This window comes from Homo sapiens, chromosome 21 (genome assembly GCF_000001405.40).
Source record: "Homo sapiens chromosome 21, GRCh38.p14 Primary Assembly".
NCBI lineage: Eukaryota > Metazoa > Chordata > Mammalia > Primates > Hominidae > Homo > Homo sapiens.
Window position 1 is genome coordinate 32,496,352 of NC_000021.9, and position 23,387 is coordinate 32,519,738.

Here is a 23,387-nt window from a genome sequence, read left to right on the forward strand (position 1 = left end):
ATAATATTCCATTGCATCCTTAGAATTTTATATCCTGAACTAAAAATGTTGTTCTCTGCAATATCAATGCTGCAATAGATATGATGAAGTGACTACATAAATGTATTACCAAAATAATGGCACCCACTCTTACATCACAGGAGGGATGGCTTTACCTGCTCTGTCTTTATTCCTGCTGTCATGTCTAAGCAACTCTAAGTAGCATGGGGCCCATTTTGGCTGAGGTTCCCCCAGAGGCCAAAAAGGTCACTTTGAGTACATCCTTGGATAGCTCCTCTGGTAGAATGGAGGACGGTAGACTGGACACGGGTCACACTGAGGTTCCAGTAACTTCAGGCCTCTTCATCAGAGTGTTGAATAAGAAGCAGAACTTTAGCCTCCAAATAAGGTGTAGTTTTGGCCGGGGACCGGGAAAGCTGAGACACTGCTGGGCTGGGGCCGCCATAGCCCTGGGAACGGAGTATATTCTAGTGAAAGGAGACCAGGTGACTGGCATAGTGACAGCTAAATCTGGAGATATATTCAGAGTTGATGTTGGAGGGAGTGAGCCAGTTTCTTTGTCTTACTTGGCATTTGAAGGTGCAACTAAAAGAAACAGACCAAATGTGCAGGTTGGAGATCTCATCTATGGCCAATTTGTGGTTGCTAATAAAGACATGGAACCAGAGATGGTCTGTATTGACAGCTATGGATGAGCCAATGGAAGGAATGTCATTGGACAGGATGGTCTGCTTTTTAAAGTGACTGGGCTTCATTAGAAAGCTGTTAGCTCCAGATCATGAAATCAAACAGGAAGTGGGAAAACTCTATCCACTGAAGATAGTATTTGGAATGAATGGAAGAGTATGGGTTAAGGGAAAAACCGTCCAGCAGACTTTAATTTTGGCAAATGTTTTAGAAGCTTGTGAACACATGACATTAGATCAAAGAAAACAAATCTCCAGATTGGCAGAAAGTTGATATAGGTGGACTTTTTTAATGGGTCCGTTGAGCCAAGAAACCATGGGTTTCCTGGGGAAAACTTTTTTCAGGTGAACTTCTCCCCATTTAGTTATTCAGAAGACAAGGTATGAAGGTACATATTATCTTATTGGAGTCCTAATTAAAATATTTTTATAAGTAAATTACTGATTTTCACCCATGCTCTTGTGGGAGAGAAAATCATTACAGAATCATGATGTATTTTTTTATTCTGTACAATAACATTTACTAAAACATTTTTTTTAAAGGTGCAGTTTCTAGTGTGCTTTCAAGGATGAGGCAAGAACAGTTCCTACAGCTGAGGCTCTTCTTAGCTAATTGTATTAGTCCATTTTCACACTGCTGATAAAGACATACCCGAGACTAGGCAATTTACAAAAAAGGGGGTTTAATTGGACTTACAGTTCCACATGGCTAGGAGGTCTCACAGTCATGGCGGAAGGCAAGGAGGAACAAGTCCCATCTTATGCGGATGGCGGCAGGCAAAAAGAGAGTTGTGCAGAGAAATTCTCATTTTTTAAACCATCAGATCTCGTGAGTCCCTTTCACTATCAAGACAACAGCCCGGGAAAGACCCGCCCCTAAGATTCAATCATCTCCCACAGGGTCCTCCCACCAGGTCCCTCCCACAACACGTGGGAATTATGAGATTTGGGTGGGGACACAGAGCCAAACCACATCACTAATGCTGAGATGAAGGTGAGCTTTCAGGGCCTGGGGGTCACATGTCCCAGTTCAAGCTTTTCTTCCTTCTGTCACTCATTCAGCACATTGCTCTTTGTGTCAGGAGCTGTGCTGGGTGCCAGGGATTTTGTAATAAACAAAGAGACACGGCCAGGTGCGGTGGCTCACGCCTGTAATCCCAGCACTTTGGGAGGCCGAGGCGGGCGCATCATCTGAGGTCAAGAGTTCGAGACCAGCCTGGAAAACATGGTGAAACCCCATCTCTACTAAAAATACAAAATTATCTGGGCATGATGGCGCATGCCTGTAATCCCAGCTACTTGGGAGGCTGTGACAAGGAGAATCACTTGAACCTGGGAGGCGGAGTTGGCAGTGAGCTGAGATCTCGTCACTGCTTGGGTGACAAGGGTGAAACTCTGTCTCAAAAAAAAAAAAAAAAAAGAGACATGGTCCTGTTTTCATGGGGTGAGCAGTTGAGGGAGAAAGGCAAGCATTAACCAAATAGCCAGACACATCATCATGACCTGTTGTGACAAATGCTATTTTAGAAAAGGGCAGAAGACTGTAACAGTGGAGGGGGCCTAATTTAGCTTGGGGGTGGTGGTTTAATTCTTCCAAAGAGAACCATACTGTAGGGTGAACACTAGGGTATGCACACTAGCTGCACACTAGCTGCACACTAGGGGCCGAGACGCTGAGGTTGCTGAGTGGGAGAGGAAAGGTGTTGATGAGGAGGAAGATGGCCCTGGTTTAAACTGCTGAGAACAGGGTCCTGCACACAGTAGGAGCTCCATGAAGAGTGGTCCCTAGTGTTTTCACCAACATATCTGAAGTGGAGCAGGACGGTGATCAATCACACCCCAGTCCCCGACCTCATTCGGAACTAGTTTGAATCAAGGAGATGCAAAAATCTGACAAGTGTGTTGACAACGGTGATTTTAAAGGTCCTAAAAGATTCTCCAGATATCAGAGCCATTTTCACATAGTAGAAGGGCACATTCCCTGCAGTGGCCTGTGTCATACACAGCCAATTTAACCTTTTCACTGCCTGGTTATTCTGCAAAGTGCATCCTAGAATGCCCTTCCCCTCTGAGCTCCTCTACAAAATTCTGATTCTTTCTCAAACTGTAAAGCCTCTGGCATTTGCCAAGAGCCAAGGCCCTCCTGAAGCCATAGTTTGAGAACAAGCCAAGAGGCAGACATGAGAAAGAAGTACCACTCCTGGCAGGGAGAGCTGACACTTCCTAGGATTCTGCATCCTTCTCAGGGCCCAGAAATGAATGCGAGGTAATTAAAGCAGAAAGCAATTTGCAGCAGCTGAGCTCAGCTCTCCGGAGCTGCCAGGGTCCCAGGATCAGTGGTGTGCCCCAAGGACAGCCAAGGGACATTCCTCAAGGCCCTGGAAATCATCAGCCACATCCAGCAACTTCACCGGGCTTCCCTGGAAAGTCTCCCTTGCTGCTGATGGGCATGAAGGCGCCAGGGCCTCCTGTACGTGGAAAACTCACAATCTAGGAATGTCCGGTGGTTGTTGATCCTGGGACATCCCCAGAAGAATTTAGTTAAGCCCTCTGAGAGAGGAAACAAGGTTTTCTTGCTGCTGAAGATGCCTCACTTGTTCTTTTATAAAAAAGCAGTGCAATTGAATTTGCAGTTTGTTTTGGCTTTCTTTCCATTTCCTGTTGCTACTTCTCTGAGATCTCAGCTGGGCTGAGGAACAAACAAAAATAAGCAATTTTATGCAGCAGGAATATTCGGTTTCCACTCCCTTCTCCCAGCCTGCGGCAGTGTGCTTGGCCTGCAGAATTCTTGCTCTGCCCTCTGTTTCAGCGGGTGCTGTCATCTGCCGGCTGCTTTGCCTGGGGATTCTGACATCCCAGGGCTTATTCTTAGGGTCAGTTCAGCAGAGTCTGAAACCACCTTCAGAGGAGTCGGTCACGCTGCCATCCTCTCTGCATCTTTCTGTAGTCCTTTCTGATAATATTTAGCAAATCACTTTAGCACAGGGTCTTCGAATTCTTTCCAGATTTACGATGGAAACACAGAGGCAAAGAGCTTGGGGTAGAAAGCAGAAGAGTAGGTGCTGGGAGAGTTTGATGGTGGGTTTTGAGTTGGTCACAGTCATTTTGCTTTACTAAGTCCAGGGAAGCTCATCTTCAGAGTTAACCACCCTATTTTTTTTTTTTTTTTTTTTTTTTTGAGATAGAGTCTTTCTCTGTCACCCAGGCTGGAGTGCAGTGGCACAATCTCAGCTCAGTGCAACCTCTGCCTCCTGGGTTCAAGTGAGCACATCCGGCTAATTTTTGTATCTTTTAGTAGAGATGGGGTTTCGCCATGTTGGCCAGCCTGATCTTGAACTCCTGACCTCAAGTGATCCACCTGCCTCAGCCTCCCAAAGTGCTAGAATTACAGGCATGAGCCATCATGCCCAGCCCAGAGTTAACCACTCTATTGAGGTGTTATTTTCCTTAAAATTCTATTACATGTGAATACAATGCAATGATTTTTAGTAAATTTAGAGTTGTGCAACCATCACTACCCTCCAGTTTTAAAACATTTTCACAATGCCCCGAAGCTCCCTTGTGCCCATTTGCCGTCACTGCCCCATTCCCACCCCCCCGGTCCCAGATAACCACGCATCAACTTTCTGTCTCTAGATTTGCCTTTTCTGAATATTTTGTACAAATGGAATTATGCAATGGATGGTTTTGTGTGTGTGTGTGCGTGGTTGGCTTCTTTAACTGAATGTGATGTTTCAGAGGTTCATCCATGTTGTAGCATGTATCATATCGGTACTTCACTTTTTTTTTTTGGAGATGAAGTCTCACTCTTTCACTCAGGCTGGAATGCAGTGGTGCGCTCTTCGCTCACTGCAACCTCTGCCTCCCGTGTTCAAGCAAATTCTCCCTGCTTTAGCCTCCCAAGTAGCTGGGATTACAGCTGTGTGCCACCATGCCCAGCTAACTTTGTATTTTCAGTACAGACGGGGTTTCATCATGTTGGCCAGGCTGGTCTCGAACTCCTGACCTCAAGTAATCTGTCCACCTCGACCTCCCGAAGTGCTAGGATTACAGGTGTAAGCCACCATGCTGGGCCTTCATTCCGTTTTATTATGAGGTGTATTCTGCTAGATGGATATATCATATCTTGTTTTTATTCTCCATTTTTTTTAATATTGCAAAATGGGCCTAAAACCACCTCTCTGGAGCATTTGATGATCACATGGATACCATGGGTTTGTGTGTATATGTGTGTATTTAACAGGAAGAGTGAGTGATTCTTGCACTGATTTGGAAAGTGATTTTAAAATCTTATCTACATTGCATTTAAAAATGTATTAAGAGTCCACATTTTAAAAATATACCACGAATTTAAAATATTTCTTTTTTGGCTTTTAGTTCCCAAGAACATACTCACAGCGATTGATCCAGCCATTGCTAATCTAAAACCTTCTTTGAAGCAGAAAGATGGTGAATATGGTAATTTTTATGGCTTACTACCAGCATTTCTCTTTAAGTAAAGGTAAACAGCCCCTGGGTGACCACAGTTGGGCACACCTTGGTTAGAATGGAAGGGGCTGTCAGGAGGTGTGTTTGAGGTACCGGTCCTGGTGATAATAGCGCTTATTATCGGCCAATAGTTGCAAATGGTGAACACCATTTTATTTTGTTTTGACTTTTTTAAAATCAGAAGTAGGATAAACCTCCCCTTCATTCTCCTCTCACTTCCTAAAAGGAAAATCACTTTGAAAAGACATCTGCTCAGAAGTAAATTTGGGCTTCCTGGGTTACACAATGAGCTTTTTGCAAAGCTGAGCCCATTGGAACCTGCGTAGGCGCCAGGGCCAACTAGGACCTGAGGGCCTCTGTACCTCTGTACACACCACCTTCCTCTTTAGTTTCCTTCCTCCCTTCCTTCCTTCCTCCCTCCCTTCCTTCCTCTCTCCCTCCCTCTCTCTCTCTCGCTCTTTTCTTTCTTTCTTTCTTTCTTTCTTTCTTTCTTTCTTTCTTTCTTTCTTTCTTTCTTTCTTTCTTTCTTCTTTCTTTCTTTCTTCTGTCTTTCTTTCTCTCTTTCTTTCTTTCCTTACTTTTTCTTCTTTTTCTTTGGAGTTTCGCTCTTGTCGCCCAGGCTGGAGTGCAATGGCGCAATCTCCACTCACTGCAACCTCTGCCTCCGGGTTCAAGCGATTCTCCTGCCTCAGCCTCCCAAGTAGCAGGGATTACAGGCGTCCACCACCACACCTGGCTAATTTTTGTGTTTTTAGTAGAGACGGGGTTTCACCATGTTAGTCAGGCTGGTCTTGAACTCCTGACCTCAGGTGTTCTCCTCGTCTCGGCCTCCCAAAGTGCTGGGATTACAGGTGTGAACCACCGCACCCGGCCCCTCCTTAGTTTTCACTTGGCTTTTGTAAATGGGGTGGAGGGGTAGGGAGTTGAGGGGGTTGAGCATTTGGATTTTCTTATCAAATCTAGAATGGAATTCAAACCCATGGGGTCCCTAATAGAAACTGCAGAGACCCCGTAGAGCATCTAAGATGTTAGGCTGTGGTGAGAGTTTTGTCTTGTGTTACCTTTATTATATGTATTAGGTCTTTCCCCCCTAAGTATAAAAGTAAAGTATGTTTGATATGAAAACCATATGAAAGCACCCCTACTCCAAAAGCTCAAAGAAAACTATTGGTAATGTTCTTCTGTGTCCTTCTAGCTGGCCACCTTGGCTTTCTGGCAGGCTCTGTGTTCCTTAGCTCCTCTTCTCTTTCTTTTAACTAATTAATTAACTATTATTATTATGTTTGTAAAGACAGGGCTTTGCCATGTTGCCCTGGCTGGTCTCAAACTCCTGGGCTCAAGCGATCCACCCACCTCATCCTCCCAAGGTGCTGGGATTACAGGCGTAAGACACCGCACCCAGCTTCCACTTATTTTTCTAACAGGGTTCCCACCCGATCCATAAACAGCCTGGTCCCCCTGCAGTGGGGGCCTGAGAGCCAACCCTGTGCCGTCTCTCCTCAAAGGCATCTGTCCTGTCTGACATGGCTAGGAGTCCCCCAAGCCATCAGGTTACCCCATCACAGACTTGCTAAGCTCCATCCAGCAGTGTAACCAGGATTTAAAAGCAGATTTGCCCCACATTTTGCTGTTGTTTCCAAAAAAAGTAGCCCAATACAACCTCCCTCTGTAATGGAGGCTTGTTTTATCTCTGGCCACACAGCAGACATCAAATCCATGCTTAAAGTGAAATATTATTGGCCGGGAGCAGTGGCTCACGCCTGTTATCCCAACACTTTGGGAGGCCGAGGCGGGCAGATCACCTGAGGTAAGGAGTTCGAGACCAACCTGGCCAACATGGTGAAGCCCCATCTCTAATAAAAATACAAAAATTTGCTGGGCATGGTGGCACGTGCCTGTAATCCCAGCTACTCAGGAGGCTGAGGCAGGAGAATTGCTTGAAACCAGGAGGTAGATGGTTGCAGTGAGCCAAGATTGTGCCATTGCACTCCAGCCTGGGCAACAAGAGTGAAACTCCATCTCAAAAATAAATAAATAAATAAAATAAAGCGAGATATTATTAAGCCTCTGAGGGGTGTGATGAATGTCACTGTCTTTAGGATGGGAAAATCCACTTATTCCCTTCCACAGTGGAGTGGAAGACCAGCACCTGAAGTTGGAACCAACACTTAAAACAATTTCTAATCCTTTTTGTACTTTAATATTGTCGGGGACTGCTTACTATTTAATAAGTGCTCTTCCTGGGTTAATCTTCTGTAATTTAGCCAGAGGCCCATTTGTTTGATTTCTGTGACTTTTAATTATTCCGGCGGTCCCTGGGGTAGGAGCAGCAGGGGTGTCTTAGAATAGGCGTACTATGAACAGCTGTGATTAATTGGTCTTGCATTTTTCATGAAACAGGTATAAACTTCGACCCAAGCGGATCGAAGGTTCTGAGGAAAGATGGAATTCTTGTTAGCAACTCTCTGGCAGCCTTTGCTTACATTAGAGGTAGGTCAATGAATCAAAGCTTCCTAGAATGCTGATGGATTTACTAAAGTCTTGTTAATAAATGTGCTGTTCAATTATAGCACTCAGATAACTAAAGGACGATGACTTCAAGTTTAACATGCCAACCACCACTTCTAAGATTCAGAAACACAGAGGCCTGAGTTCAGGCACAGTTGTAACCAGGCAGTCAGCAAGAGAACCACATAAACAGACAAAGTCACACTATTTAGGAGTTGAGCTCCACAGATATTTTTCGCTTTTGAAAAGTAGAAACCCGAGGAATGCATTTCCCAGCTCTAAAATTCGGGAAGGAACTAGGATTATTGAATTCCAGCCCTGACTGGAAGAAAAATGAGCCAGAAGGTCACTTAGTAAACAAGACAGATCATGCCCCATGAAGACAGAGCCACTTTCTGGGTCATGAGTGTTATTCCTAATAGTTGTCAAGGATTCCCTTGTTAGTCTTCCCCATGAGGATCAATCAGACTCAGCCCTCATGAATTAGCAGAGCCAGAAGGCTTATACCAAGGCCGGCCACACCGCGGGGACCTCTTCATTGAGGGGAAGGTATGTACAATTTTTCCTCACCACCCTCTCTGCTTATCTTAAGATAGAACACATTTTGGAATGCCATCTGCAAGTTTCAGCAATGCCTGCCTATGTTCAGAGAGACAAAAACCAGAGACCTTCAGTAAAATACATGTTAATATAATACATAACAGTATTGCTATTCAAGGCCTGCAAAGATGGGCTATTTGGGGTAAGCCTGTCTCAGAGGAAAATAGAGGCTTAGGGAATGTATTTGTCTGTTCTCATGCTATTAATAAAGACATACCTGAGGCTGGGTAATTTATAAAGGAAAGAGGTTTAATGGACTCACAGTTCCACATGGTTAGGGAGGCCTAACAATCTCGGTGGAAGGTGAATGAGGAGCAAAGTCACGTCTTACTTGGTAGCAGGCAAGAGAGCTTGTGCAGGGGAACTCCCCTTTATAAAACCATCAGATCTCGTGAGACTTATTCACTATCACCAGAACAGCATGGGAAAGACCCACCCCATGATTCAATTACCTCCCACCATGTCCCTCCCATGACACATGTGGATTATGGGGGCTATAATTCAAGATGAGATTTGGGTGGGGACACAGCCAAACCATATTGGGGAATGATCTCAATACATGAGATGCAAAGTTCAGTCTTGGGGTCCCCTGCTGTTCTATTGTCCTCCTGCGTCAGGATTCCTCCTGTGTGTGTGTTGTGTGGTTGATGGTTTCTTCTGTGGGTCCTCTCTTTTCTAGCCACCTTCTCATTTTCATGTCTTGCTGTTCCTGATCATTGTCAATGTTAAGAACTGTAAGGATTTTTACTGTCAGAAATATCCCCATATTTACAAAGTCCTTGGGGAGCTTCTTGGAGAAAAGCCATCATGAAAATCCTCCAGACAGAGAATAACGATTGAAGGGGAACGAGACCGACATTGCGCTCAGTGAGCTGTGGCCTTGCTGTGTGCTTTACCCCAACTACCTTGTCCGTTCCTCTCAACAACTGCCTTAGCCAGCCCAGCTGCCATAACAAAGTACCCGAGACCAGATGGCCTAAATAACAGACATTGATTTTCTCACCGTTCTGGAGGCCAGAATTTCATGATCAAAGTATCCACCAATCACTTTCCGGTAAGGGCTCTCTTCCTGGGTTGTGGACAGCAGCCTTCTTGCTTGTCCTCACATGGCAGAGAGGGGGAGAGACAGAGACAGAGACATCTCTTCTTTTTATAAAACCACCAATTCTATCAGATTAGGATTCCCCCCTTATGGCCTCCTTTAACCTTAATTAGCTCCTAATGAGTGAACTGGGGGCAACACAATTCAGTCCATAGCAACAACCCTGAGAGATGGGACTCTGATCCCCTGTTCTGCACTTGAAGCCGGTGGTCAGAGGAGTTGAGCCATTTGCCTGAGGACACCATGGACAGCGGCAGGGCCAGGATTCAGGCTCAGCTAATACAAGGCTTGCACTCCAGCTACTCTGAATTTTGAGGGATGCAACCACCTCCCCACTCTGATCCTGAGTTGTCTAAATTAGCTTTCCTCCATCTCTTTCTATCCTTTTATGTGATTGTCATTCCCAGAAACCACAGGATAGAGATATTCGTTTAGTGACTATCTCTCCTGCTAGTGGCTCAGCTCCACAGGGTCAGGTGCCTTGTCATCTTATTTTGTGTGGTATCCCTGTATCTAGGATGCGGTGCTGGTACAGAACAGGTGCACAGTCAGTAGTTAAGGAACAACTGAATGATGACTGCTGATATGGGCTTATGAGCTTTTTCCTGTGCTTTATTGTCATCCAATATTTGCTATTTATAAGATGTCCATTTTTTTAAAATGTAAGGACTTGATGAGCTGTTATTTGATTTTATTGAGGGGTGTTTGGTGACATTTATCTTAGCAAACCATGACCACGCCTCCATATAATGTCCAAGAGAAAGAGTCTCTAAATGCACTGTGTTGGATGTTAGCTAAATGAAATCACCACAAGAAGCTCGTGACTCAAATCACAGAGGCTCACAAAGCCCTAGTAGAACAGGTGCCTCTGGGCTTGCCTGTGGGTTTTCTTGGTGTGTCTATGTCGCTGTCTGGGTGGCCACTCTAGAGGTGGGAAGCATGCAGTGCATGCTCAGGGGTCTGCAGGCCAGTGTGCCACAGAGGTGCATGTGGACATCAGGCTGGGTCATTTCGACCCAAACAGGCAGTGGCCACCAGCCAATGTCACACAGTGCTGAGCTCCATCCTCACTGCTGCTGGAGAGAGGTGCCCAGACAACTCTCAGTCGCATCCCCGGCCCCACTGTGGGGATGTGACCCACGGGATGAGCTGGGGTCTCTAGGCACCCCCAAAGCAGGAGCAGCTGGGAGCCAAGAGTGTGAGCAGGGCAGTTTCCAGCCCAAACCACCCAAATAGGCGGCAAATGGAGTGAATCCAAAAGTACATTTCCCAGGTCAGGCTGCAAGTAGCTTTGACACAGTAGTGCAGTCCAGTGTACATGGGGACAAGGAGAAGAGAAACCAAAATCGAGAGGTTTGTCCCCTGATATTAAAGCACAGAGGTTGGCAGAAGGGACAGGAGGATGTCCAAGGGTCCCTGGTGAAGCATCTCCTGGGGTCATCTGAATGATCTGTGAGATGGTTTCCCCAACATTGAAAAAGCTTCTTAGGTATGTTTGAATTTACTGTCATTTCAATAATACAGACTTACTCCCCGAATTCATTCTAGAATCAAGATCATGACTCTAAGGAAGCTCATAGAAAAACATTGGAAATTAGAGAAATGGAAAAGGAGTGGTGTGTGTGTGTGCATGTGTGTGTGCATGTGTGCATGTGCGTCTGTGAGCATGTGCATGTGTGTGTATGTGTGCACGTGTGTGTGCATAGGTGTCTATGCGTGTGCGTGTGTGCATGTGTGCATGTGTGTATGCGTCTGTGTGCGTGTGTCTGTATCTGTGTGCATGTGTCTCTGTGTGTGCATGTGTGCGTCTGTATGTATGCGTGTTTTTGTGTGTGCATGTGTATATGTGTGTGCATGTGTGTTTCTATGTGTACATGTGTGTACATGCGTATCTGTGTGTGCATGGGTTTGCAGGTGTGCCTGTGTGTGCATGCATGTGTATCTGTGTGCATGTGTGCATGCGTATGTGCACGTGTGTGTGCATGTGTGTGCATACGTGTATCTGCATGTGCATATGTGTTTGCGTGTGTGTGCATGTATGTGTATCTCTGTGCATATGTGTATCTCTGTGTGCATGTATGTATGTGTGTTGCATGTGTGTGCATGTGTCTGTATGCTTGTGCGTGTGTGCCGTCATGTGTGTGCATGTGTATCTGTGCATGTGTGTATCTGTGTGTGTGCGTGTGTGCCTGTATGTGTATCTGTATGTGTGTTTGTGTGTGTGTGTATCTGTATGTGTGCCTGCATGTGTGTGTGTGGGTGCGTGTGTGTACGCATGCATGTGTGTGCATGCACATGTGCGTGTGTATCTGTGTGTGTAAGTGTGTGTTGGAAGTTCTTAGCAAAGCAGTGTAATAGCTGGCTCAGCATGAGCCATTGTCCCCTGGCAGATTGTGCCCAAGGGGACTTACGTATTTAGACAGTCTTGCATGAGAATATGACCTCTCCTATTCCACATAATTACTGTTTCATTGACATCTGGCTTTGGGTGTTTACCTCATATGTGCCTGCAGGCATGCCTTTTGTGGCCTAATATTTCCGTCACTGCCCCTGCCCCCTTGGGACAGTGACAGATATGTCATCAGCCTCTGGCAGGCCCTGCTGTGGGCTTCTGGGGCGCAGGGGTAAGGAAGCTGGGCAGAAGGGACAGGCTTGCAGCCTGGGATGTCCTGTTTTGGGAGGCATAATTGTTTCATAAGGGAGGAACTCTAGGGCCACAGATAAGCTTATACTGAAAGAGAAACACAAAAACACGCTCCAGAGTCAGAGCTATGTGATTCCCCCACCAGGGAGAATCACTGGAAATCAGCACCACCTTGTCACGGAGATATGGATTCGGATGTGTTCCCACGGTCTCCAATCTCTAGTTCCATGATAGAAGGTTTCTGTCACACCCCTAAGTGCTGTCAGACCAGCACTTGGTATGCTTTGTGCTTTCTTCTGGACAACTCTCGGGCCCTGACTGCTGCCTCGATCCTCTCAACAGCAATAGGGCCCCAACAGGGGGAACGCTCGCCATGGCCTCTGGGTGTCTTATCTGGACACGAATGAGCTGGAGCGTGCATTTGCCCCAAGTCAGGATCTAAGGGTGGAAAGGAGCCTTAAAGGCCATAGGTCCCCCTTCAGAGGCTCCCATGGGCATGCAACAGCTGATCAAATTAAAGTCATTCACTCCAGCTGGGGATGAACCAAGGCTAAATTTAGAACAATGCCAGCAGAAACACAGTGTGAAGATTCTGTTCAATCACAAGGAAAACTTTGTTTTTCCAGAATACGGAATAGGAAAAGGAGCCACAAAAGTATAAAGTAGTCCAAGTGATTCTAGAGAACAGTTGACATTCCCTTAGTGTAAAGCCTGGGACCATGGAGAGAGCCCTGGCCTGAGCTTGGGGTCCTAGCCAAGTGGTGGCTTTGCACAAGTGACTTGGCTACAACAAGAGGGGTTGGACCAGCTCATCACTAAGATTCCAGCTGACCAACATCTGGTGAGTTTGTATCTTCAAACTAGTTGATTCAGATGACTAGGAAGCCTTGTTCCCATGGACTTGCCAAGCATTGCCCATATTGTCCATCTCTGGTGGCTGCATCTCAGCAGAGTTGATGCAGACTTGCCTTAAAGAGCGCTCACTTAGCAGGAGGCAGGCCTAGGCCAAGAGGCACCTGGAGTCTTATGGGAGAGAAGCTCTCCTGGCAGGAGAACCCAGACACCCACCTCCCAGGAGAAGAGGAGAGGGAAAAAAAGGGAGCTGATTTATGGAGCCCCATCCCCAGGCGCCAAGCTGAGTGCTTAAATCCACAATTCCCTCCTTTTATGCACTCAGCAAATATTTTCATAATGCCCACTCTGTGCCAGGGATGGCACTGGGGATTTGGCAAAGAGCAAGATGGTTCCAGCCCCTGCCCTCAGGAAGCTTGCATTCTAGGTGGAGAGAAAGGATGGCACCCACTCAGCGAGTGAGTGACGATTGTAAGTTGGGCTGTGAAGAAAACATTCAAGATACTCTGAGACTAAATGACAGGGGACCTGGCTAGGCTAAGGCAGGGGGAGGTATCTAGTAGTGCTGGATGAAGAGGGAGGAAAGAACTTTCCAGGCTAACAGAAGAGCACATGCAGAAAAACCAGGGTGTGCAGGTATCTGATGTGTCACGAGTGAGGAATGGCAGGCTAGAGCGGGGAGCAGAGAGGAAGCGGAAGTTCTCGGGAGTTGAACTTGGGGAGGGTGACAAGGGCCAGGTCATAGCCGGCTTCCTAGGCTGTGGTCAGGAGTTGACTTTTATTGCAAAAGTAATTGCGATTTCCGACATTCCTTTTTTTTTTTTTTTTTTTTTGAAACAGAGTCTTTCTTGGTTACCCAGGTTGGAGTGCAGTGGTGTGTGATCTTGGCTCACTGCAACCTCCACCTCCCAGGTTCAAGCCATTCTCCTGCCTCAGCCTCCCAAGTAGCTGGGACTACAGGCGCACGCCACCACCCCTGGCTAATTTTAATTTTTGTATTTTTAGTAGAGATGGGGTTTCATCATGTTGGCCAGGCTGATCTCAAACTCCTGACCTCAAGTGATCCGCCCACCTCAGCCTCCCAAACTGCTGGAATTACAGGTGTGAGCCACCACTCCCGGCCGATTTCCGCCATTACTTTTGCACCAACCTAATAGCTTAGGAGAGGGAAGAGGCCATCTATAAGTTTTAAGTCAGGCAGTGATGTGACCCAATGTGTGTTTCTTAAAGATTATAGAGGCCATGCAGGAAAGATGGTTTATATATGGTCTGTGGTCGCTTTTGCACTACAATAGCAGAGCTGTTATATTTGCAACAGAGACCATATGGCCCATAAACCTGCAATAGTTCCTATCCGGCCATTCACTAGAAAAGGCGGGCAAGAGAGGAGGATGGGGACCAGGTGCCTGCAGGGAAGATGGAGCAGAACAGTGTTTCATCCCTGGTTTTCAGATAATTTCACAAGGTTGAAAGACATCTTAATGAAAGTGAAAGTACAAGGCACTTACCAGGAGATATTCACACCAGATGCCATGGCTCACACCTGTAATCCCAGCACTTGGGGAGGCCAAGGCAGGAGGATCACTTTCAGCCAGGAGTTTAAGACCAGCCCGGGCAACAAAGTCAGACCTCATCTTTACAAAAAAATATAATAAAAAGTTAGCTAGGCATGGTAGTACATGCCTGTAGTCCCAGCTTCTAAGGAGGCTGAGGTGAGAAGATTGTTTGAGCCCAGGAATTCAAGGCTGCAGCAGGCTATGATTGTGCCACTGCACTCCAGCCTGGGTGACAAAGGGAGACTCTCTCTCTCTCCCTCTCTCTCTCTCTATCTATATGTATACACAATATATTTGCTGTCAAAGGATTATCATCAAGAGTCTATAGAAAATATACACATCCTTGGACTAGGCACGGTGGCTCACGCCTGTAATCCCAGCACTTTGGGAAGCTGAGGCGGGCAGATCACCTGAGGTCAGGAGTTCAAGACCAGCCTGGCCAACATGGCAAACCCCGTCTCTACTAAAAATACAAAAATTAGCTGGTGTGATGGCATGCACCTGTAATCCCAGCTACTTGGGAGGCTGAGGCAGGAGAATCACTTGAACCTGGGGTGGGGGGCGGAGGTTGCAGTGAGCCAAGATCATGCCACTTACACTCCAGCCTGGGCAACTGAGCAAAACTCCGTCTCAAAAAAAAAAAAAAAAAAAAAAGAAAGAAAGAAAGAAAAGAAAAAAGAAAATATACACATCCTTTATATGTAACTGGAAAAGCACAGGCAACCCAGAAAAAAAATGGGTACATGACATGAGCCAGCATTTGGAGAAGAGGAAATACATAAGCATGTGAAGACAGGTACAGATCAGGGGAACACAAATCAAGACCATCGTAAGGTACAATTCTATACCCATGTGATTAGAAAATAATGTAAAAGTCTATGTGAGCCAAGTGCTGGAGAAGATGAGGACTGACAGGATTTCTCACACATTGCAGCCACTTTGAACACCGTGTTGGCAGTAGTTCTGAAAATTGAAACTCACGTGCCCTAAGTCCATCAGTTACCTCCTAGGGTAGTACCCAAGAGAAACGCTTGCAGGTGTTGACCAGGGACATTGACAAGAATGCTCACGATCATCCACAAAAGCAGAAACCTGGCAACAGCAGGAGAGCAGGCAAATAAACAGTTCCCGACCCACCAGCAGGAGAGTGGGTGAATAAACTACATTATAGCCAAGACAGTGAAATATTTTACAGCGATATGATATTAAATTAAAAAAAAACACCAAGTCTCCAACACTACCTATAATATTATACCCTTTAAATAAAATTTTAGGAATACATAGAGACGGAAAATAAAACTATATAAAAAAGGAAACAGGGGAGTAAGGAGCTTGGAATTCAGGTGGTAGTCACCTTGAGGGGGAGGCAAGGGGATGGGGAAGCACAGGTTAGACACAGGTGTGGTCAAGGCCTCGCTCCTATACGGGTGTGCATTCATAGCACTGGTGCTAATTACAGTATTAAAAAGTAATTCGTTAGACATAAAGTAGGGCTATGTATTGACCAATGAAGAGAATGTCTCATGTCCTAAGGATTATGGGTAATTTAATTCAGTCCACCAGGAATCCTCAAAATATGAAAAAAGAGGTACAGTAGCAAGTCCATAGTTACCGGCTGTGGCACCCTACTCCCTTCTTGGAACCTGAAACGTCCCCATTCGACTTCCTTCACTTATAGCTCAAGTCGCTGCTGGAATTGACTGCTGGAATTGATTGCTCTGCTGTGACCCTACTCTGTCTGCCCTGGGTACCCGGCCCCTCCCACGACACCACCACTGGGAGAGGAGGGGAGGGGGCCACGGATGACCATTGTACCTCAGAGGCTTGAGCTGGATGGAATTGTTTCTGTCCAGATCTGTCCCTGGCCTGACCATGGGTGGCTGGAAAAGACTATAAATGGATGGGATTCAGCTTCCTCACACTCAGCACTCCTTGAGGTCGGCAGCATCACTGGCAGTGGGGCTCAAAGTTTATATTTTCCAAGACAGAGAAGTTGAGTTGTGGCCCACCTTGAAAGCCCTAACAGCATCACAGAAGGAGAGGGTTTGGAGAGGACAGTGGCTCAAAGATTTCGGGGGAGAGGAGGGCTGCAGGATGGGGAGGAAAGGAGGGAAATTCAAAGGGGAGGAAGATGAAAGTGAAGTCGGGAGAGATGAAGCTTTGATCTGCATATTACTTACAGTATACAGGCTTCCATCTGTATAATACTTACAATAATATAGTAAGTATTATAATACTTACAATAATATAATAAGCATTATAATACTTACAATAATATAGTTGTTATTATTGTAATATAGTTGTTACTATATTATTGTAAGTATTATAATACTTACAATGATATAATATCATTATAGTAGTATTATAATACTTACTATATTATTTTATTTTATTTATTTATTTTTTTGAGATGGAGTCTCACTCTATTGCCCAGGCTGGAGTGCAGTGGCGTGATCTCGGCTCACTGCAAGCTCCACCTCTCGGGTTCACGCCATCCTCCTGCCTCAGCCTCCTGAGTAGCTGCGACTACAGGCGCCCGCCACCACACCCGGCTAGTTTTTTTTTTGTACTTTTGGTACAGACGGGGTTTCACCATGTTAGCCAGGATGGTCTCGATCTCCTGACCTCGTTATCTCCTGCCTCGGCCTCCCAAAGTGCTGGGATTACAGGCGTGAGCCACCGTGCCCGGCCAATACTTATTATATTATTAATATTTATAAATAATATACATATTTATATTATTTATTTTAATATTTTTCTTTTCTTTTTTTTTTTTTTTTTTTGAGGCAGGGTCTCACACTATTACCTAGGTTGGAGTATGGTGATATGATCTTGACCTCCCAGGCTCAAGTGATCCTCCCACCTCAGCTTCCCTAGTAGCTAGGACTACAAGCACGCACCACCATGCCCAGATATATTTTGGTATTTTTTTAAATAGACATGGGGTTTCACCATGTTGCCCAAGCTGGTCTTGAACCCCTGAACTCAAGCAATCCACCCACCTTGGCCTCCCGAAGTGTTGGGATTACCAGCGTGAGCCACGACACCCAGCATATTTTTGTATTTTATATTACAGTTGGCCTTCTGTATCCATGGATTCCTCATCTATGGGTTCAACCAACCTCAGACTGAAAATATCTTTTTAAAATGGATAGTTGCATCTTTACCAAACATGTACAGACATTTTTTCTCCTGTCATTATTCCCAAAACAATACATGGTAACAACTACTTACCTAGCATTTCCATTGCATTAGCTATTACAAGTAATCTAGAAGTGATTTAAAGAATAGGGGAGAATGTGCTTAGGTTTTATGCAAATTCTGTGCCATTTCATATAAGTGACTCAAGCGTCCGTGAATTTTGGTAGCCTGGGAGTGTGGGGGAGGGGTCCTGGAACCAGTCCCCCACGGGTACCAAGGGATGACTGTATATTTATATTTACTTTTTAATCTGAAAAAGGACAGAATTAAGTTTTGCTAACATCTATTATATTATTACTTAGGTTCACATATATACTTCGTACATAAGTTAATTCTTCATGAGCTACTTCTACTACTAATAATAGCAGCACTTTATTGAGCATTTACTATGTGTCAGGGAATATTCTAAGAGCTTTATAGGAATTAACTCATTTCACTGTAATGACTCTGTGATAGAAGATACTATATGCCCCATTTTACAGATGAGGAAACTAAGGCACAGAAAGGTTATGAAACTTGCCCAAAGTCACACAGCTACTGAGTGGCAGACCTGAGTTTGAACTCAGAGGAGTCTGGCTCCTGAGCCCCTCTGCTGTGTGTTTTTCTCCTACACATACATATATTGACTCCGTAGGCGCAAAAGCTTTTTTGAAAAAAAATGTCAGTGGGGATATATGATTATTTTGGTGTAGACAGTCTCAAAGATGCTGGACTGGCATTCTTCATTAGCCCCCTGCTTGGGCAGACATCTGTTTCTGTGGGACTTGGCACTGGTGGAGTCTGCCAGCTCCTCCCAGCTCCTGACATGTTCTCTTCCTCCTGCAGCCCACCCGGAGAGAGCTGCCCTGCTGTTCGTGTCCAGTGTCTGCATCGGCCTGGCCCTCACACTGTGCGCCCTGGTCATCAGAGAGTCCTGTGCCAAGGACTTCCGCGACTTGCAGCTGGGGAGGGAGCAGCTGGTGCCAGGAAGTGACAAGGTCGAGGAGGACAGCGAGGATGAAGAAGAGGAGGAGGACCCCTCTGAGTCTGATTTCCCAGGGGAACTGTCGGGGTTCTGTAGGACTTCATATCCTATATACAGTTCCATAGAAGCTGCAGAGCTCGCAGAAAGGATTGAGCGCAGGGAGCAAATCATTCAGGAAATATGGATGAACAGTGGTTTGGACACCTCGCTCCCAAGAAACATGGGCCAGTTCTACTGAAAACCACATGCATCTTGATGCGATCGCACTTTCTGAAGAAGGAAGGATCCCAAATGCCCCTCCAGTTCTGGTTCACCTGTACCTTCTATGAAGGAGAATTCGTCATGTCATTCAACACTCGTGAGGCCAGGAAGCTATTAAAGGGATGTTTCAAGCTGTTTCTAGCACATTCCAAAATAAATGAGGAGGGAAGAGTCTTTGTTTTCTGTATTTCTTTGAATTTGTGTCTATACATTAATAAGTTATACATAATTAGAATTTACATTTGTTGAGCGCTTATAATGCCAGGCGCTATTCTAACTGCTTTTCATGTTCTGAGTCATTCAATCCTCACAATGTCATGAGCTGGTACTATTACCCCCATTTTACAGATGACTAAACAGAAGATTCCTATATATACACGTAAAACAGTTACACAGATACTCAGCAAACATGAGCTCATGAGTGATTTTAACCACTGACTTGTTTAGACCAACGGTTAGCAAACTTTTTCTTAAAAGGCAAGATGATAGGCTGGGCACAGTGGCTCATGCCTGTAATCCCAGCACTTTGGGAGGCCAAGGCAGGTGGATCACTTGAGGTCAGGAGTTCGAGACCAGCCTAGCCAACACGGTGAAACCCCATCTCTACCAAAAAAATAAAAAATTAGCTGGGTGTGGTAGTGCGCGCCTGTAATCCCAGCTACTTGGGAGGCTGAGGCAGGAGAAATCACTTGAACCTAGGAGGCAGAGGTTGCAGTGAGCTGAGGTCGTGCCACTGCACTCCAGCCTGGGTGACAGAGTGAGAAACTGTCAAAAAAAAAAAAGCAAGATGATAAATATTTTAGGCATTGTGGGTCAAATCCTCTCTGCCACAATTACTCGACTCTCCATTGCAGCTCAAAAGCAGCCACAGATATTACATAATGCATGAACTTGGCTGTATTCCAATAAAACGTTCTTTTTGGACACTGAATTTTAATTTCATTTTATTTTCACATGTTCCACGTTCTTCTTTTTTTTTTTTTTTTTAAACCAGCCATTTAAAAATGTAAAAGCCTGAGGCCAAGAGTTCGAGACTAGCCTGGGCAACATAGTAAGACCCTACCTCTATTTAATTAAAAAAAATTTAAATAAAAGTAAATAAATAAAAATGTAAAAAAACATTCTTAACTCAAAGGCTGTACAAAAACAGACAGCAGGATGGAGCTGGCCTGTAACCTGTTTTTGTAAATAAAGTATGGTTTGCAAAACCTAAAATATTTACTTTCTTGCCCTCTATAGAAAAAAGTTTGCTGACTCCTGGTTTAGAGTTTAAAACAGCAGAGCCCCTGGTGGTAATAGCCATCAACCAGGGTACCTAACAGTGCTGTGGGCCAGGATCAAGTGGAGCTGGCTCCCAAATCTCTCCAAAAACAGGGTCCTACCCCACTTGGGGAGGGCTGGGTGGAGGAGCAGAAGAAAGAGTTCAGAAAACAGACCCCAGTGGGAGAACTTATTATTGGTTCCTGCAGACGGCTCTCCCTGGTAGACAGGAGGCTTATAGCTGTGGCATCAAATAAGAAAACATGTTTTTTTTCTTTTTTGTCCTAGTAATCCCAGGGGCTTAGAATATAAACATGATTGCATTTTTCATATGCCTATTACCAAAGAGCTCTCTCTCTGTTATCTTATTATCTTACTTCGTCATCACTAACCCTATAAACATATGTAGATGAGGAAGCTGAAGGCCGCCAGGGTAAGTATCGTCCAGCCCACGTCACACAGCTGGGAAGTGCTGGGACTGACTCGTCCTGAGTGCTCAGGAAACATAGCTGTTCCCACAGGAACTCCTACAGTGACAGGTATGGAGAAGGCATGTCTCTCTCAGTCTTGCAGACCATAAGGGTGAAGGGCCTATCTGCAGGATGCAGAGGAGGGTGGGTGTGGAGTGAGGAGGCTCAGCTGCCACTCTGGCATTCATTTTTAGTAAGTTGAAATCCACATAATGTAAAATTAACTCTCTCAATGACGTTTAGTCCATTTGCAATGTTGTGCAAACACCACCTCTATCTAGTTCCAAAACATTTCATCACCCCAAAAGAAAACTCTCTGCCCGTTAAGCAGTCACTCCCCATTCCTCCCTCCCTCCAGCCCCTGGAAAACACCAATTTGCTTTCTGTCACTATGGATTAGCCTGTTCTGGATAGTTCATGTAGATGGGATCACACAACATGTAGTCTCTTGTGACTGCCTCATTTCACTTAACATAACGTCCTCAAGATCCATCTATGTTGTAGCAAGTGTAGCATGTGTTCATTCCTTTTCAGGGCTGAATAATATTCCATTGTACGGCTAGCCCACAGTTTGTTTATCCAGCCATCAGCTGGTGGACATTTGGCTGGTTCCTTTGGCCACTGTGAATAGTGCTGCTGTGAACGTTCATGTGTGGCATTTCACCAGCACAAAGCAGCAACTACAGACAGAGCTGGTGGGAAATCCTGTGTGTCCACTCAGTGGAAGGAAGGGGAAAGTCAAGATGGGTCAGAATGGCACCCCCTCTTCTACCCTCCACACCTGCCAATTTCAAAGCAAGCTTCCCTTACACAGGCCCCCTGCAGGTGGGAGAGCAGGGATTGGCCAAGAGAGGTGTCATACAGATGGGCTGGGGGTGGTTTGGGTGGAGATTGAAATTCCTCAGGATTTCCAGGTACCGGAATTTCTCCCATAGGGAGAAATTGAAGGGGTTGAGGATGATGTGTTTTAACCCTTTCCCCGTTTAGGAAAAAAAAAAAAACGCGACTCACTGTCAGCGCTCATTTAATTTTACATAAACACACTTTGAGGCCGAAGCAAATCTGACTGATTTTCAGTGTGAACATAAAATATAAAAAGCGTTCTTGGGGCCGGGCGCAGTGGCTCACGCCTGTAATCCCAGCACTTTGGGAGGCCGAGGTCGGTGGATCACGAGGTCAGGAGATCGAGACCACCCTGGCTAACATGGTGAAACCCTGTCTCTACTAAAAATACAAAAAAATTAGCCGGGTGTGGTGGCGGGTGCCTGTAGTCCCAGCTATTCGGGAGGCTGAGGTAGGAGAATGGCATGAACCCAGCAGGTGGAGCTTGCAGTGAGCTGAGATCGCGCCACTGCACTCCAGCCTGGGAGACAGAGTGAGACTCCGTCTCAAAAAAAAAAAAAAAAAAAAAAAAGAAAAGAAAAAGTGTTCTTGGAGTTATTTCTAAACAGAACTAACAACAGAATCATCTATTTCAGAAAAACTAAATTCATCAAATGAATCTTCAGCCAACAACTGTTGGAGAATGACGTTAACCTCAGGCATGGGAATGCTACATTTTCTAGGATTTGACATTTTCAGCAATCGAGGATTACTACACTTTATAAATGGAGATACCTCTACTAAAAACAGAATGCTATAAACAGAATGATGTCTTTTGTTTCCAAAGTCAATGTACAAGAGCAATGCAAAAATAATAATAAAAGAGAGATTTCCTGGAAAAGTTATCTCGGAGTAAACGCTACAGCCTCAAGTGCCACTCGTGAGTATTCTCAGGGCAAATGGGAGAAGGGTTAAATCTGTCATTGGAGAGAAATCTATCTATGTATTTATTTATTTATTTGAGAGAGTCTTGCTCTGTTGCCCAGGCTGGAGTGCAGTGGCATTATTTCAGCTCACTGCAACCTCCATCTCCCGGGTTCAAGTGATTCTCCCTGTCTCAACCTCCTGAGTAGCTGGGATTACAAGTGTTCACCATCACACCTTGCTAATTTTTGTATTTTTAGTAGAGACAGGGTTTCAACATGTTAGCCAGGCTGGTCTTGAACTCCTGACCTCTAGTGATCCTCCCGCCTCAGCCTCCCAAAGTGCTGAGATTACAGGCATGAGCCACTGTGCCTGGCCTGGAGAGAAATCTATTCCAGATCATATCAGAGAATGCAGTGAATTCCATTGTCCAACTATTTCATAACGATTTTGTTCTAATCAAAGAGAATCTTTGTCCTTTCATGTCCCTGAGTTCAGCAAGGAGCATTTTGATAATGTCCCAGCTCCCAGAGCAGCTGTCTGTCTCTATTTCCAGTTTGAAGGCAGCATCTTCCCTGTCCCCATGAACACAAATGCTGTCCAGCTGGTGGCTGATGACCGTCTGCTTGGGGCTGCAGATGTTCACGTTACCAGTTGAAGAAAGAGCTGTGCCCATATTGGCCTCAGTCACATGGTTTTCTTGGATTCCACAATGGGTTTTCGCTTATCTGAATTTCCCCCCATTAGCCCCCAGCATGCATGCTTACACACACAAACACACACACACACACACACACACACACACACACACACACACACACACCCTCCCAGGATCCCTACAGAGGCAGCTGGTCAACAGGCTTGCCAACTCGAGGGTCAGTCTTTGGCCTGTGCAGATACAGTGAGATATTTCTTTGCATTTTCAGAGCCCCAAAGAAGAATGCCATGTTCTTGTTGTGGAAGGAGGCTGAAGGGTCCTGCTGAGATTGTGTTTGGCTTGGCACAAAGTCCAGCGGGAAAATGACCAGAGCAGATTTGGATGAGAGACT

At 45.4% G+C, this 23,387-nt stretch overlaps 1 protein-coding gene and 1 pseudogene across 16 annotated transcripts in view, besides 2 other annotated features; both read left to right on the forward strand.

Annotated features, from left to right (window-relative positions):
* The window catches only part of EVA1C (eva-1 homolog C), a 103,665-nt gene extending 84,629 nt beyond the window's left edge, over positions 1-19,036 (forward strand). For 7 of the 16 annotated variants that reach the window (XM_017028420.2, NM_001320745.2, NM_058187.5 and 4 more), the window contains 3 exons: positions 5,064-5,144; positions 7,575-7,664; positions 18,463-19,036. In XM_017028420.2, the coding sequence (XP_016883909.1) occupies positions 5,064-5,144; positions 7,575-7,664; positions 18,463-18,839 (548 nt within the window). In that variant the 3' untranslated portion in view covers positions 18,840-19,036. Of the gene's footprint in view, positions 1-5,063; positions 5,188-7,574; positions 7,753-18,462 lie in introns of those variants that run through there. The other 9 variants (NR_104472.2, NM_001286556.2, XM_047440933.1 and 6 more) reach the window with 5 other exon arrangements.
* On the forward strand, positions 461-1,217 carry EXOSC3P1 (exosome component 3 pseudogene 1; annotated as a pseudogene).
* Positions 1,531-1,699: a silencer, noted in NCBI's record as "fragment chr21:33870192-33870360 (GRCh37/hg19 assembly coordinates)". NCBI's record gives its function as "represses an EF-1alpha promoter that drives an FKBP-Casp9 reporter gene in an ReSE screen in HepG2 liver carcinoma cells {active_cell/tissue: HepG2}" and the evidence as "EXISTENCE:reporter gene assay evidence [ECO:0000049][PMID:32094911]".
* Positions 22,849-23,014: a silencer, noted in NCBI's record as "fragment chr21:33891510-33891675 (GRCh37/hg19 assembly coordinates)". NCBI's record gives its function as "represses an EF-1alpha promoter that drives an FKBP-Casp9 reporter gene in an ReSE screen in phorbol 12-myristate 13-acetate-treated (for megakaryocytic differentiation) K562 erythroleukemia cells {active_cell/tissue: K562(+PMA)}" and the evidence as "EXISTENCE:reporter gene assay evidence [ECO:0000049][PMID:32094911]".